At 35.8% G+C, this 13,148-nt stretch overlaps 1 annotated feature.

The window, feature by feature from the left end:
- Nucleotides 12,355-12,414: an enhancer, noted in NCBI's record as "active region_1893". NCBI's record gives its function as "activates an Ori minimal core promoter by ATAC-STARR-seq in GM12878 lymphoblastoid cells {active_cell/tissue: GM12878}" and the evidence as "EXISTENCE:reporter gene assay evidence [ECO:0000049][PMID:35858748]".

Below are 13,148 nucleotides of genomic sequence, written 5' to 3'. Positions count from 1 at the left end.
TTAGTCCCAGCTCAGGAACTCTGTACTTTCTATTTCCATGCTTTAATGTTCTTTCTCTTGATATCCTTGTTTTCTTATTTCCTTCATTTGCATTTCTGCTTTGATTTTCTGTTTCTGGTCCATGGACATTTTTATTTTCTTTTTATAGAACAAACACAGCTTTTTTACATTTTGTATTTTTCCTGCCATTGCTATGTGCTTGGAGCTCAGGGAGGGCCTCAAAGGATGAAATTGGAGTATGGTGTGATCAGAAGTTTGAACTTCTTTGTATTGTATGATCATCCCTTTACCTTAATACTCACATGAAATGCTATCTATGGCTTCTTACATTCCACTTCTTCTTAATCAATTTCTTTCTTCATGAACTTAAACGTTCCCATCATTTTTGATAGGGTCTGTGAGTTTATTTGTCCAAAAAGCCCAAAAGCAGAATTTAAGATTGATAGCATAGCTTTGTGCTCAACAGTTGTAATATTTTTTTCCATGGTCGTCTAGCTTCTTCTGTTTTCTTTGAGAAATCTATGTAATTGTTGTTTCTTTATAATTAATCTATCTTTTCTCTCCAGTTGCCTTTAAGACTTTTTATATTTGATATTATGCAATTTCACTATGATTTGTCTAAATGTGCATTTATTTTGCTAGAGATTAATAACTCAAGTCTAAGGTATCATGTCTTTTTTCAAGTTTAGAAAATATTTGGCTATTATCTCTTTATTATCATGCTGCTACAGCATTATTTGAATTCTTTCCCTCAGAAATTTATATTAGAAGTTTGCTAGACTTCATTCTAGTCTCATGACTCTTAATTAGTCTTGCAAAATTTTCATTTCATTATCACTTATTGCATTTTAGGTAATTTCTTAATCTCTGTCTTCCAGTTTACTGGTTCTTTCTTCAGCTGTATCTATTTTATTGTTTAACCTATTTATTTTCTATTTCAATGATTACATTTTTTGAGATTTTATTAGCAAAATGGTTAAAAGCATGGTTTCAGAGGATTGTCTGGATTTACATTTTGCCTCCATTATTTACTAGCTCTCCAGTTTTGGTTAAATTAATTAACCTTTTGTGCTTCTTGGTGTGTAAAATTGAAGTAACAATTGTATATAAATATAGTGTTTTTTGGTAATTAATTAAAATTATTTGCATAAAATGCTTAAGACAGGGCCTGAAATGACATTGAGTCCTCAAAAAATAAATTATTATTATCATTCCTTCACAGAGTGTTTTTATTATTTGTTGTGTTTTGCTGTTATTGGTTTAACACTTGATTTTATGATTTTTAACAAGCTTAAAATAGTTTAAATAAACTGTAATTCCCAGATAAATCTACCAATTGAAGTTTTAGGCATTTAATCCTCAGTTTATCACATATTTTATTTATGTTTATTAAATATTTTTAGAGACAGAATCTCACTCTATCACCCAGGCTGTAGTGCAGTGGCATGATCATAGCTTGCTGCAACCTCGAACTCCTGGACTCAAGCAATCCTCCCACCTCAACCCCCCAAGTAGCTGGAACTAGAGGTGCACCACCATGCCCAGCTAAGTTTTAATTTTCTTTTTCTAGAGATGGGGTCTCACTATGTTGCCCAGACTGGTCTTTCTCACTATGTTGCCTAGACTGGTCTTGAACTCCTGGCCTCTAGCGATCTTTCTTCCTCTCACATATTTTAAATCTTGTTTATGGTGGTTTCATAGATTTTGTGATTTTACATTGTGCAGCATCCTGCGCAATGTGGGGATTCCATGTGGCCTAGGTTCCTCTTTTTTTCTTTTTTTTTAAGTGAAGGCAATTAAGGTATTATTGACAGACAAACATTGTATATATTTATGGTGTATAATGTGATGTTTTGATATATGTATACATTGTGAAATGATTAGATCTGGCTAATGAACATATACATCACCTTGCATACTTGCCATTTTTTATAGTGAGAACATTTTTAATGTAATCTTTTAGCAGTCTTCAAATATAGAATAAATTACTATTAACTGTAACACCATGCTGTATAATAGATCTCCAAAACTTTCTAACTGAAATGTTACATCATTTGTTCAATATTTCCCCATTCCCCCTCAATCCCTGACAACCACCATTGTACTCTTTGCTTCTATGAATTGGAGTTATTTAGATTCCACAAGTAAGTGAGATTACGCAGTATTTGTCTTTCTGTGGCTGACTTACTTCACTCAACATAGTGCTCTTTAGGTTCATCTACATTGTCACAAATGACATAAATTCCTTCTTTTTAAAGTCTGAATAGTATTACATTTTGTATATATACCACATTTTTAAAATCCATTATTTTGTTGATGGGCATGTAGGTTGATTCCATATCTCGATTATTGTAATGCTGCAGTGAACATGGGAGTGCAGATATCTTTTTGACACACTGATTTCATTTCCTTTGGATATAAATCCAGTAGTGAGATTGCTGGGTCATATAGTCGCTCTATTATTATATTTTGAGGAACTGCTATACTGTTTTCTATAATGAATGTTTTAATTTACACTCCCACCAACAGTTCCCTTTTCTCTACAACCTTGGCAACACTTGTAACCTTTTGTCTATTTGATAATAGCCATTCTAACAGGTATGAGGTGCTATTCCACTGTGGTTTTAATTTGCATTTCCCTGATGATTAGTAATGTTTAACATATACCTGTTTTATATATCTGCTGGACATTTGTATGTCTTCTTTTGAGTAATATCTATTCAGGTTCTTTGCCTATATTTTAACTGAATTATTTGTTTCCTTGTTGTTGACCTGAGGTTCTTATATATTTGGCATACTAACTCTTGTCAGATATATGGTTTGCAAATATTGTCTTTTTTTCTTTGCCCATAATTTTGGGATCAGATCCAAAAAATCTTTGTCAAGATTGAAGTCAAGAAGTTTTTCCTTATGTTTCCTCCAGTATTTTACAGTTTCAAGTCTTAACATTTAAGTTTTTAAGTTGATTTTTGTGTATGGTGTAGGATAAGGATCCAATTTTATTCTTCAGCATGTAGATATCCAGTTTTCCCAACACCATTTATTGGAAAGACTGCCCTTTCCCCATTGTGTGTTCTTGTTCCTGTTCTTGTGTGTACTTTGTCAAAAATCACTTGAGCATAAATTTGTGAAATTATTTCCGGGCTTTCTACTCTGTTCTATTGGTCTATATTTCTGTTTTTATGCCATTGTCATACTCATTTGATTACTAAGCTTTGAGTACATTTTGAAATTAGGTAATGTGATGCCTCTAGCTTTGTTATTTCTTCTCAAGAACAAATTTCACTATGCCAAATTAAATGGCATTAAATTTTAGCAGAATTGGTTTGCGAAGTTGCTTTTTGTATTGGGGCCTTTTGTGGTTCCACACAAATTTTAGAATTTTTTTCTATGTTTGTTAAAAATATTATTCAAAATTTAATAGGGATTACATTAAATCTGTAGATCTCTTTGGGTATTATGGACATTTTAACAATACTAATTATTTCAATCCATTTATTTGTATCTTCTTCAATGTCTTTCACCAATATTTTATAGTTTTTGGTACAGAGACCTTTCATTTACCTGGTTAAATTTATTCCTAAGTATTTTATTCCATTTTATTTTATTTTTTATAGTATGGGATTGTCTTCTTGAACTCTTTTTCAGATAGTTTGTTGTTAGTGTATAGAAATGCTACTGATTTTGCATGTTAAAGTTATATCCTGTATATTACTGTATAACAGTTTTTGGTGGAGTCTTTATGGTTCTCCACGTGTAAGATCATGTCATCTGCAAGCAGAGACAATTGTACTTCTTCCTTTTCCATTTTGATGCCTTTGGCTTCTTTTTCTTGCTTAATTGCTCTGGTGTGGACTTCCAGTACTAGAAAAAGAGCTTTAAGTTTTCACCATTGAGTATGATGTTAGCTGTGGGCTGTGATATATGGCCTACATCACGTTGAGGTACATTCCTTCTATCCTAATGTGTTGAGAGTTTTTATTATAAAAGGTGCTAAAGATGCTAAATGTTTTAAAGTGCTTTTTTGCATTTATTGAGATGATTATGTAGTTTTTGTACTTCATTTTGTTAATGTGATATATCAATTTATTGATTTGCTTATGTTGAATCATCCTTGCATCCCAGGGATAAATCCCACTTGATATTATGGTGAATGACTCTTTTAATGTGCTGTTGAATTTGGTTTGCTAGAATTTTGTTGAGGATTTATGCATCTATGTTCATCAGGGATTTTGGCCTGTAGTTTCCTTTTCTTGTAGTGTCCTTGTCTTGTTGGGTTATTAGAGTAATGCTGGCCTTGTAAAATGAGTTTAGAAGTATTCTGTCTTCAAAGTTTTTGCAATAGTTTGAGAAGGATTGGTGTTAGTTCTTAAATTGTTGGTAGAATTCAGGCCTGAAGGTAACAGGTCCTGTGCTTTTCTTTGATGGGAGATTCTTTAAATTACTGATTCAATTTTCTTACTCATTTTTGGCCCATTCAGGTTTGCTATTATTTCATGTTCAGTCTCAGTAGATTGTGTGTTCCCAAGAATTAATCTCTTTCTTTAAGGTTATCCAATTTGTTGGAATATAATTGTTTTATAGTAGTCTCTTACAATCTTTTATATTTCTGTGATATCAGTTATGTCTCCTCCTTCATTTATAATTTTTATTTATTTGAGTTTTCTCTATTTTTATGTTTGTCTAGCTAAAAGTTTGTCAATTTTGTTTATCTTTTCAAAACCCAACCATTAGTTTCATTGATCTTTTCAATTATTTTTTTCTAGTCTCTATTTCATTTATTTGTACTCTAATCTTTGTTATTTTCCTCCTTCTACTAGTTTTCAGGCTTAATAGGTTCTTCTTTGTCGAGTTTCTTGAGGTATCATGTTAGGTTGTTTATTTGAGGTATTTCTTATTTTTTTAATGTAGGCATTTATTTCTACAAATTTTCTGTGTAGAACTGCTTTTGCTGCATATCATAAGTTTTAGAATGTATTTTCATTTTTGTTTGTCTTGAGATTTTGTTAATTTTCTATTTGATTTATTCTTCAAACCATTGATTGTTCATGTGGTGTTTAATTTTCATATATTTGTAAATTTTCCAATTTTCCTCCTGTTCTTGATTTCTAGTTTCATAACGTTGTGGTTGGAATGTTGTGGTTGAAATCACCGATATGATTTCAATATTCTTAAATTTATTAACAATTGTTTTGTAGCCTAACATATGATCTATCTTGAAGAATGTTTCATGTGTACATGAGAAGAACACCTATTCTGCTACTGTTCAATGGAATGTTCTGTAGATGTTCGTTAGGTCAATTTGGTCTAAAGTGTAGTTCAAGTGTGATGTTTCTCTACTGATTTTGTGTCTAAAGCATATAGAGGCGTCGACAGTAGAATTGAGAATCTGAAGAAAGAATGTGTGAATTCAAAGACAGGTTATTTGAAATATCCAGTCAGAGGAGAAAAAATAATGAAAAGGAATAAAGAAAGCCTATAGGATTTATTGATTTTGACAATCTATTCATTGTCAAAAGTGGAGTATTCAATAATTTTACTATTATTATATTGCAGTTGATCTCTCCCTTAATATAATTCAACTTGCTTTATATATTTAGGTGCTCTGATATTGAGTGGTTATAAATTTATAATTGCTATATTCTTTTGATGAATTGACCCATTTTTATTATTAATAATCTTCTTTGTCTGTTTTTATAGTTTTTGAATGAAAGTCTATTTTGTGTGATATAAGTATAGCTACTCTTCCTCTCTTTTGGTTTCTATTTGCATAGGCTACCTTTCTTCATCTTTTCACTTTCTCTCTATGTGTGCCCTTAAGGGTGAAGTGAGTCTCTTGTAGGCAGCACATAGTTTGGTCTTTTAAAAAATCTATTCAGCCATTTAATATCTTTTGATTGTAGAATTCAATACATTCACGTTCAAGGTTATTGATAGGTAAAGACTTACTACTGCCTTTTGTTAAATTGTTTTCTGATTGTTTTATAGATCCTTTGTTCTTTTCTTCCTCTCCTGCTGTCTTCCCTTGTAATCTGATGATTTTCTGTAGTGGTATGCTTTGATTTCTCTCTTTATCTTTCATACACCTATTATAGGTTTTTATTTGTGGTTACCATGGCACTTATGCAAAACATCTTGTAGTTATAGCAATTAAAGCTGATAACTTTATTTTGATTGCATACAAAAACTTTATACTTTTTACCTCCCCAAACATTTTATGTTTTTGATGTCACAATTTACATCCTTTTATATTGTGTATCTATTAACAAATTATTGTAGCTATAATTATTTTTAATACTTCTCCATTTTAACCTTTATACTACACACCACAATTACAGTACTAGAATATTCTGAAATTGACTATGTACTAATATTTACCAGTGAGATTTCTACTTTACATGTTTTCATGTTATCAGTTAGTGTCCCTTCTTTCAGGTTGAAGAACTCCACTGAGCATTTTTTATAAGGTAGATGTAGTGATGATAAACTCTCTCAGCTTTTGCACATCTGGGAAAGTATTTCTTTCATTTCTGATGGACAGCTTTGCTCTATGAAGTATTTTTAGTTGAAATTTTCTTTTTTCTTTTTTTTTTTTTTTTGAGTTGGAGTTTTGTTCTTGTTGCCCAGTCTAAAGTGCCATGGTACAATCTTAGCTCACTGCAACCTCCACCTCCCAGGTTCAAGTGATTCTCCTGTCTCAGCCTCCTGAGTAGCTGTGATTACAGGCACCCACAACCACACTCGACTAATTTTTGTGTTTTAATAAAGGCAAGGTTTCACCATGTTGGCCAAGCTGGTCTTGAACTCCGGACCTCAGGCAATCCTCCAGCCTCAGCTTCCCAAAGTGCTAGGATTACAGTCATGAGCCACTGCACCTAGCCAGTTGGACATTTTCTTTCTTTCAGCACTTTGAGTATATCATCCCATTGTTTTCTGGCCTGCAGAATTGCTGCTGAGAAATCCCCTGATAGACTTTTAGGGATCCCCTTATAATAGGATCTTCTTTTCTCCTACTGCTTTCAAGATTCTTTTCGTCTTTGACTATTAACAGTTTGATTATAAAATGTCTTGGTGTAGCCTTCTTTGGATTGAATATGATTGGAGATATTTGAGCTTTCTGCACCTGTATGTCTATATCTTTTCCTAGATTTGGAAAGTTTCCAGACATTATTTCATCAAATAAACTTTTGGTCCTTTTCTCGGTCTCTTCTCTTTATTAAATTCCTACAATGCAAATGTTAGCTCCCTTGATGCTTTTCCATAAATTCCATAGGAATTTTTCCTCATTTTCTTTCATTCTTCCTTATCTTCTGCCTGGATATTTTTAAATACTCTGTCTTTAAATTCACAAATTCTGCTTCTCAATTCTGCTACTGATGTTTCTATTGCCTTTTTTCACTTCAATCATCATATTCTTCAGCTTTAGAATTTATCTTTTTAAAAAATGATTTAATCTCTGCTAAATTTTCCATTTTGTTCATATATTATTTCCCTAATTTTATTAAATTGTTTGGGTGCTTTCTTGTAGTTTACTGAGCTTCTCCAAACAATTATTTTGAGTTATTTGTCAGGTAAATTTAGAATTCAATTTCTTTGGTGTCAGTTACTGGAAAATCATTGTTTTTTGTTTGTTTGTTTGTTTGTTTTTGTTTTGTTTTGTTTGAGACAGAGTCTCATTAAATTGCTCAGGCTGGAGTGCAGTGGTGGAATCTCAGCTCACTCCAACCTCTGCCTTCTGGTTTCAAGTGATTCTCCAGCCTCAGCCTCCTGAGTAGCTGGGATTACAGGCATACAATTTTTGGTGGTATTTTGTTTCCCTGTTTTTTTCTTGCTGCCTTTCTTTGATGTCTGCACATTGATGGATTGATCTCTTCTAGACTTTATAGACTGATTTTAGCAGAGAAAAATCGTCCCCTTGAGATAGGACTAAAGGTACCAGCTGAGAGTGAAGGAATGCAGAAGTTCTAGCTCCAGTGAGGATGCAGAAGTTTAGTCTGCATGCAGCTCTGTCAGCTGAGATTGGTGTTGACAAAGATTGCAGATGTTCTCAGTGGCCAAGGCTGTGGGTGTCCTCAGCAATAGTGAGAGCTGTTAGGATCTTCAGTGGTGAAGGCTATTGTGGTCCTTCCAATCTCTTTTTGTTCCACTTGGGAAGTCATGGCCAAGAGGCTCTCCTTTTATGCCAGGTTCAGCTTGAGGGCATGCTTGCAGTGGTAGTGGCACCAGTGTCTGATTATAGTGTCCATGGAAAAAAGGCAGAGAGTTGGGGTCTGAAACATGGTCACATGTGGAGGAACCATGGCTTGAGTCTGGCGTGGTGTGCTCAGGGCACAGGCATCCTCATTGCTGCATTGATAATGGTGTGCAAGGTGGCATGCAGCAGCATCTCCTTCTTGGGAGTCTGCAGCAGGGATGGCTCTTGATTGCCTTAGTGGTGAAAGATGCCCATGTTTTCTGCAGAGCAGGCCACTGGGGACTGTGAATAACACCTGCTGCCTGGCTGATCTGAATAGCCCCTGCCCTTCTTTGTTTCTAGCCATCTCCAGATGTCTTAGGTACGCCATTCTCCCCAGAAATTATTTCTGTGTAGTCGTTCTTCTTCTTCTTCTTTTTTTTAATCTAATGTGTGGCTGTAAATTCTTAAATGGACCCTAGAACTCTCTTAAGGCTATTATCATTCATAGATAACTATTTTTTTTGTGTGAGGGGGAGGATGAAGGCTAACATCTTTTAGATTGCCATCTTGCTGATGTCACTGTGGCCTGGGCTTCTGCTGCATCCTTCAAAATCCATTTTGCATTTGTTTCTGCTAAGCCCTGGAAATTTCATTGGCCTAGGAACAATTTTTATGATAATTCCTTATTTGGGCTTTCCCAGAGCACACACATTAATGTGGCATGGTCCTGGGCTTTAGTTATTTCAGGGGAAATTTTATGTTTTTCCCAGAACTCATACAAAGACAAACTTGCTTATCATCTGTCTGTGCTAATGGGTGGATTTTTTCCCCCACCCACCATTCATTTATTAAAAGGTAGTTTTTGAGGGTCTACACTGTATGCAGGTGTTTTAGTTTCAAGTTTCTTCCTTTTGAAGCCTTAAGGTTTTGTTTCCTAGTTCCACATGGACTTTAAACACTAAGCCCATAAAAAGTATCTAGTATTGGCCGGGCATGGTGATTCACACCTGTAATCCCAGCACTTTGGGAGGCCGAGGCTGGTGGATCATTTGGGGTCAGGGGTTCAAGACAAGCCTGGCCAACATGATGAAACCCCGTCTGTACTAAAATACAAAAATTAGCCAGGCGTGGAGGCGGGCGCCTGTAATCCCAGCTACTTGTGAGGCTGAGGCAAGAGAATATCTTGAACCTGGGAGGCAGAGGTTGCAGTGAGCTGAGATCGCCCCACTGCACTCCAGCCTGGGGGACAGAGCAAGCCTCCATCTAAAAAAAAAAAAATACATAGCTACTGTTTAATTTCCTCCGTTACACCTCCCAGGGGATCAGTAATGCCAATTTACATGTTTAACACTCTGCTTTCACTTCATCATTTATCTACAATGGGGGGATTTCTCTCCTTTCTTACATATATAGTTATGTATTTAAAAATTATGTAATATTTATTCATCACTTATAAGCATTTAAGTGGGAGAATTTAAAGTGGGAGAATTTTCAGGTGTTTTAGTCTAACCAAACCTGCCAGAACTAGTATTCCCCACTTCTTGTTTTCCAAGTGGTGGTGGATTTTATTTTGATTTTTAAATTTTTTCATCATCTAAGGGGATTTTGAAAGTAAGAAAATTTAAATACCAGTGCTTAGTTTGCTATCTTGGATCATGTCTTCCATTATAAGTAATTGATCCAATTGGCTGGAGTCACAGGCTTTCTGATAATATTGATGACCCTTAATTTTCTCTGTATTTGTGGAGTTCTGTTATTCTATAATCATCTTTCCCTTGCAACCAAAACCTTTTTCATTCTCCCAATAGTGTGTCCACCAATACCACAATTATATCTTTAAACTTTTTTTCTTTATAGTTTCCTATGTATCTGATGCCAGATAAAAGTGAAAAATTTAATTAATTGAGAAACACTGGAAGAAAATTCTATTTTTAGTTATGCACAAACACTGAAATTGTTAGAAGTTAGCTCTAGAACTGATCCCACCCTTTGCCTTATCCTTGTCTCAGCTCTGGGTTCCTTCACCAGTGGGCCATTGATAGCTTTGCCATATACTTTCTTATGACTAGTTTTCCTGGACAGGTCAATAATGGTGGTTTCTTGTCACAAGGCATGTAAGCTTCCTGTAAGACACAGACAAATCTGCCACTATGGCATTGAGGAAATGACAATGCTAAATTTGAGTGAGATGGTTAAAGAGAGAAGAAAGAAGAAAGGAGGCTAAAGCTGAGACAAAATATGAGGAAGCGGCTCATCTGGGAGAACCCTGAAAAATTTATATAATGAGATTGCAATGAGCTTGGTTACAGGAAGTATGGGATACCTTCTAAGAAGAATCTTGGGGATAAAGGATTATGAGGGAAAAAAATAAGACTTCAATCCAGAGAAGCAGAGCAGGCTGCCGTAAATAAAATTAAAGCAGATTTGTAACTTAGTAAAAACAAAGTCCAGGAACCTAGGTATCTTTCTGGATTCTGGCTCCACTCTTACACCCCACACCTAATCAGTCATGAAGCTCTGCAGATTTTGACTCTGGCAAAATTTATCTCCTCCTCTTCATCAGAACCACCTTAGTTCAAGCCTTCATCTTTTCTATCCTGGACTGTATCAGTGGCCATACAGCTCTTCTATTTATCTCTAGCTTTATTCCTTCTAGTCCACATACACCCTGCTGTCCAAATTCAAAATGATCATGTTCTGATCATGGTTGAAATGCCACCATTAGTCTTGAAATATTTAGGGTTTATGGGTGCTACTCACCTTATGTCTCTTCTCCAGGTTTGGAACTAAGTTGACAAAGTCAGATTGGAGACAAAATATCAGCTTTAATAATGACCATACTAGACTAGATCATGTGACTTATATTTCAGCCAAATGGAGATTTTCTCTACTTTTCTATCAATAGGCTTTGGGACTTACTGTTAGGAGAGTTGTGTTTAGCCAGCAGAGGACCCTGGCTTCTGTGATAACTCATTGAGATAATTACACATAAGAAAATAAGCAGGAAGAGATTACTTTCTGTTTGAGGACAAGTGAAGAGAGAGAACAAGGTCATGAGCTGACATCTTCAACCCAACTCACCAATCAGATGAGCCTCTTCTCCCATGCAGAGGAACAAATAGTAGGAATAAAAGGACAATGGTAAAAGGACCAAAAGAGTTTTATCTAGTGGTGTTCTTTCCTGGGAATGGAGTGGGTGTCTCCTCCACCCTATGAAAATATAAAGATTTTCCCACCTTCCCACTTTTGGGCCTTACCTCTTGTGATGCTCTTCCTCATACCTTTGGATCTGCCATTCTAAAGTGCCTGTGGATACCTGAGCAGCCCGAATGGGTCCCTGACCTCTTACCATGCTCCTGATGCTTTCTAGGCCTGGAACTTCTCCATCTTCCTAAGTCTTATTTGCTTGATTGAAACCTACCTATCTCTCAATATTCATTTCTTCTGGAAGCCTTTACTCCTTAATCTCCACTGTGTCCATTCACATGCTGTACAGAGCTCCACCACAGCAGTGGGACACAAGTATGTTTACTCTTTTCTATTAGTCTTCTGATGCTAGAATGCAATTTCCATCAGGGCAGGGACCATATCTTTTTATCTGGGTATGTCTAGTGCCAAGTGTATTGCCCATCAAGCAGGGGCATTGAATAAAACTCCACTGAGTAACTGAATGCATGGCTTCATGCATGCATGAATTAATGACTGAATGAATAATGATTCTGCTTGGGAATCATATCTTTATGAACTGTGAAAAAGTTATTAGCAGAGTGTGTTAGAAGAGTGAGCAAAAAAAAAAAAAAAAAAGCATGGTAAAACAAGACAGAAAGCCATCAGTGTAATCTCGATCTTGGTTCTTGCTTTTTTCTTCTACTACAACTGATACTCACCAGCCTGCCAGAAAGACACCCACAGAAAGCTGCTGTGGGTGATTCTACTAACGGTTGGTGTAGTTGATGACCCATGGTTCACAGCTCCCCTTGGCCTGAAAAGTCATAACCCATCCACCTTCTGGAAAACCCACACATATACAATTAAAACAGGAAGCAGAAAGCTTTGAACTGAATTTGACCTCTAGACATCCCTCCCCACCTGTTGTTCTCATGGAACCCAGGCAACTTGCCAGGAAGTATTTTCATACACGGAGAGAAGACTGCTCACCACCACAGGTGCTGCTCTGATGTCTTCTATGAGCCTCCCTAAGTCTTTCTGCCTCTCTGCCTCCCCTCAGACACCAAGGCTGGGTTCCCCTCCACCTCCACTGTAGGAATAGTAATACCTTCTTTAGTAAGGATTTACCATAGTTTCCATTGCTACTAAAGGAACTGATAATCTTCATGACGAAGGAAAAAATCGAACTTTGTTAAACTCCAGTCCCCTAGAGATACACTATCTAAAACTTCAACTTACTCTTGGCCTTCTCTGATTCTCTGGGCTTTCACTATCTTCATTATCTTCCATGGAGGTAATGACCACTAGCTTCCAAGCATTTATACCCATTCTGAATTCTCTTTCATGCTATTTGCTCCATGCAGAGCCCTACTGGACTTCTAGATATAATAAATTTAATTGTAAAAAATCTTCTGGGCAGAAGGGCCTGGCTCTGTCTAAATTACATTGGAGAGTGTCTGCATAGACAACATTTGGTCTAGCCAGTTCTGTCCCAGAAGTTCTTCAACAAACAACATCACCTCCATAGAACTCGGAAAGTATCTAGTTACTATCTTGGACAGGAAGTTATTAGGGAAAGCCCCACTCAACAAAGACATATCATGCTGCTCAAGGTAATTATTGTAATTATTAAAACTGCTACTACCACTACTGCCATAACAATGATGATGACCATGACTATGACTACTTCTACTGCCATTTATGTAGCAATTATTATGACAAGTAATTTATATATATTATGACATTTAATTCTCTCATAGTGACCTTGGAACCCCAAGCTCAAAAGATTATATCTAGGGATCTT

Source organism: Homo sapiens, chromosome 1 (genome assembly GCF_000001405.40).
Source record: "Homo sapiens chromosome 1, GRCh38.p14 Primary Assembly".
NCBI classification, from domain to species: domain Eukaryota; kingdom Metazoa; phylum Chordata; class Mammalia; order Primates; family Hominidae; genus Homo; species Homo sapiens.
The sequence above is the reverse complement of the archived record's forward strand: the minus strand, read 5'-3'. Positions and strand labels throughout refer to the sequence as shown.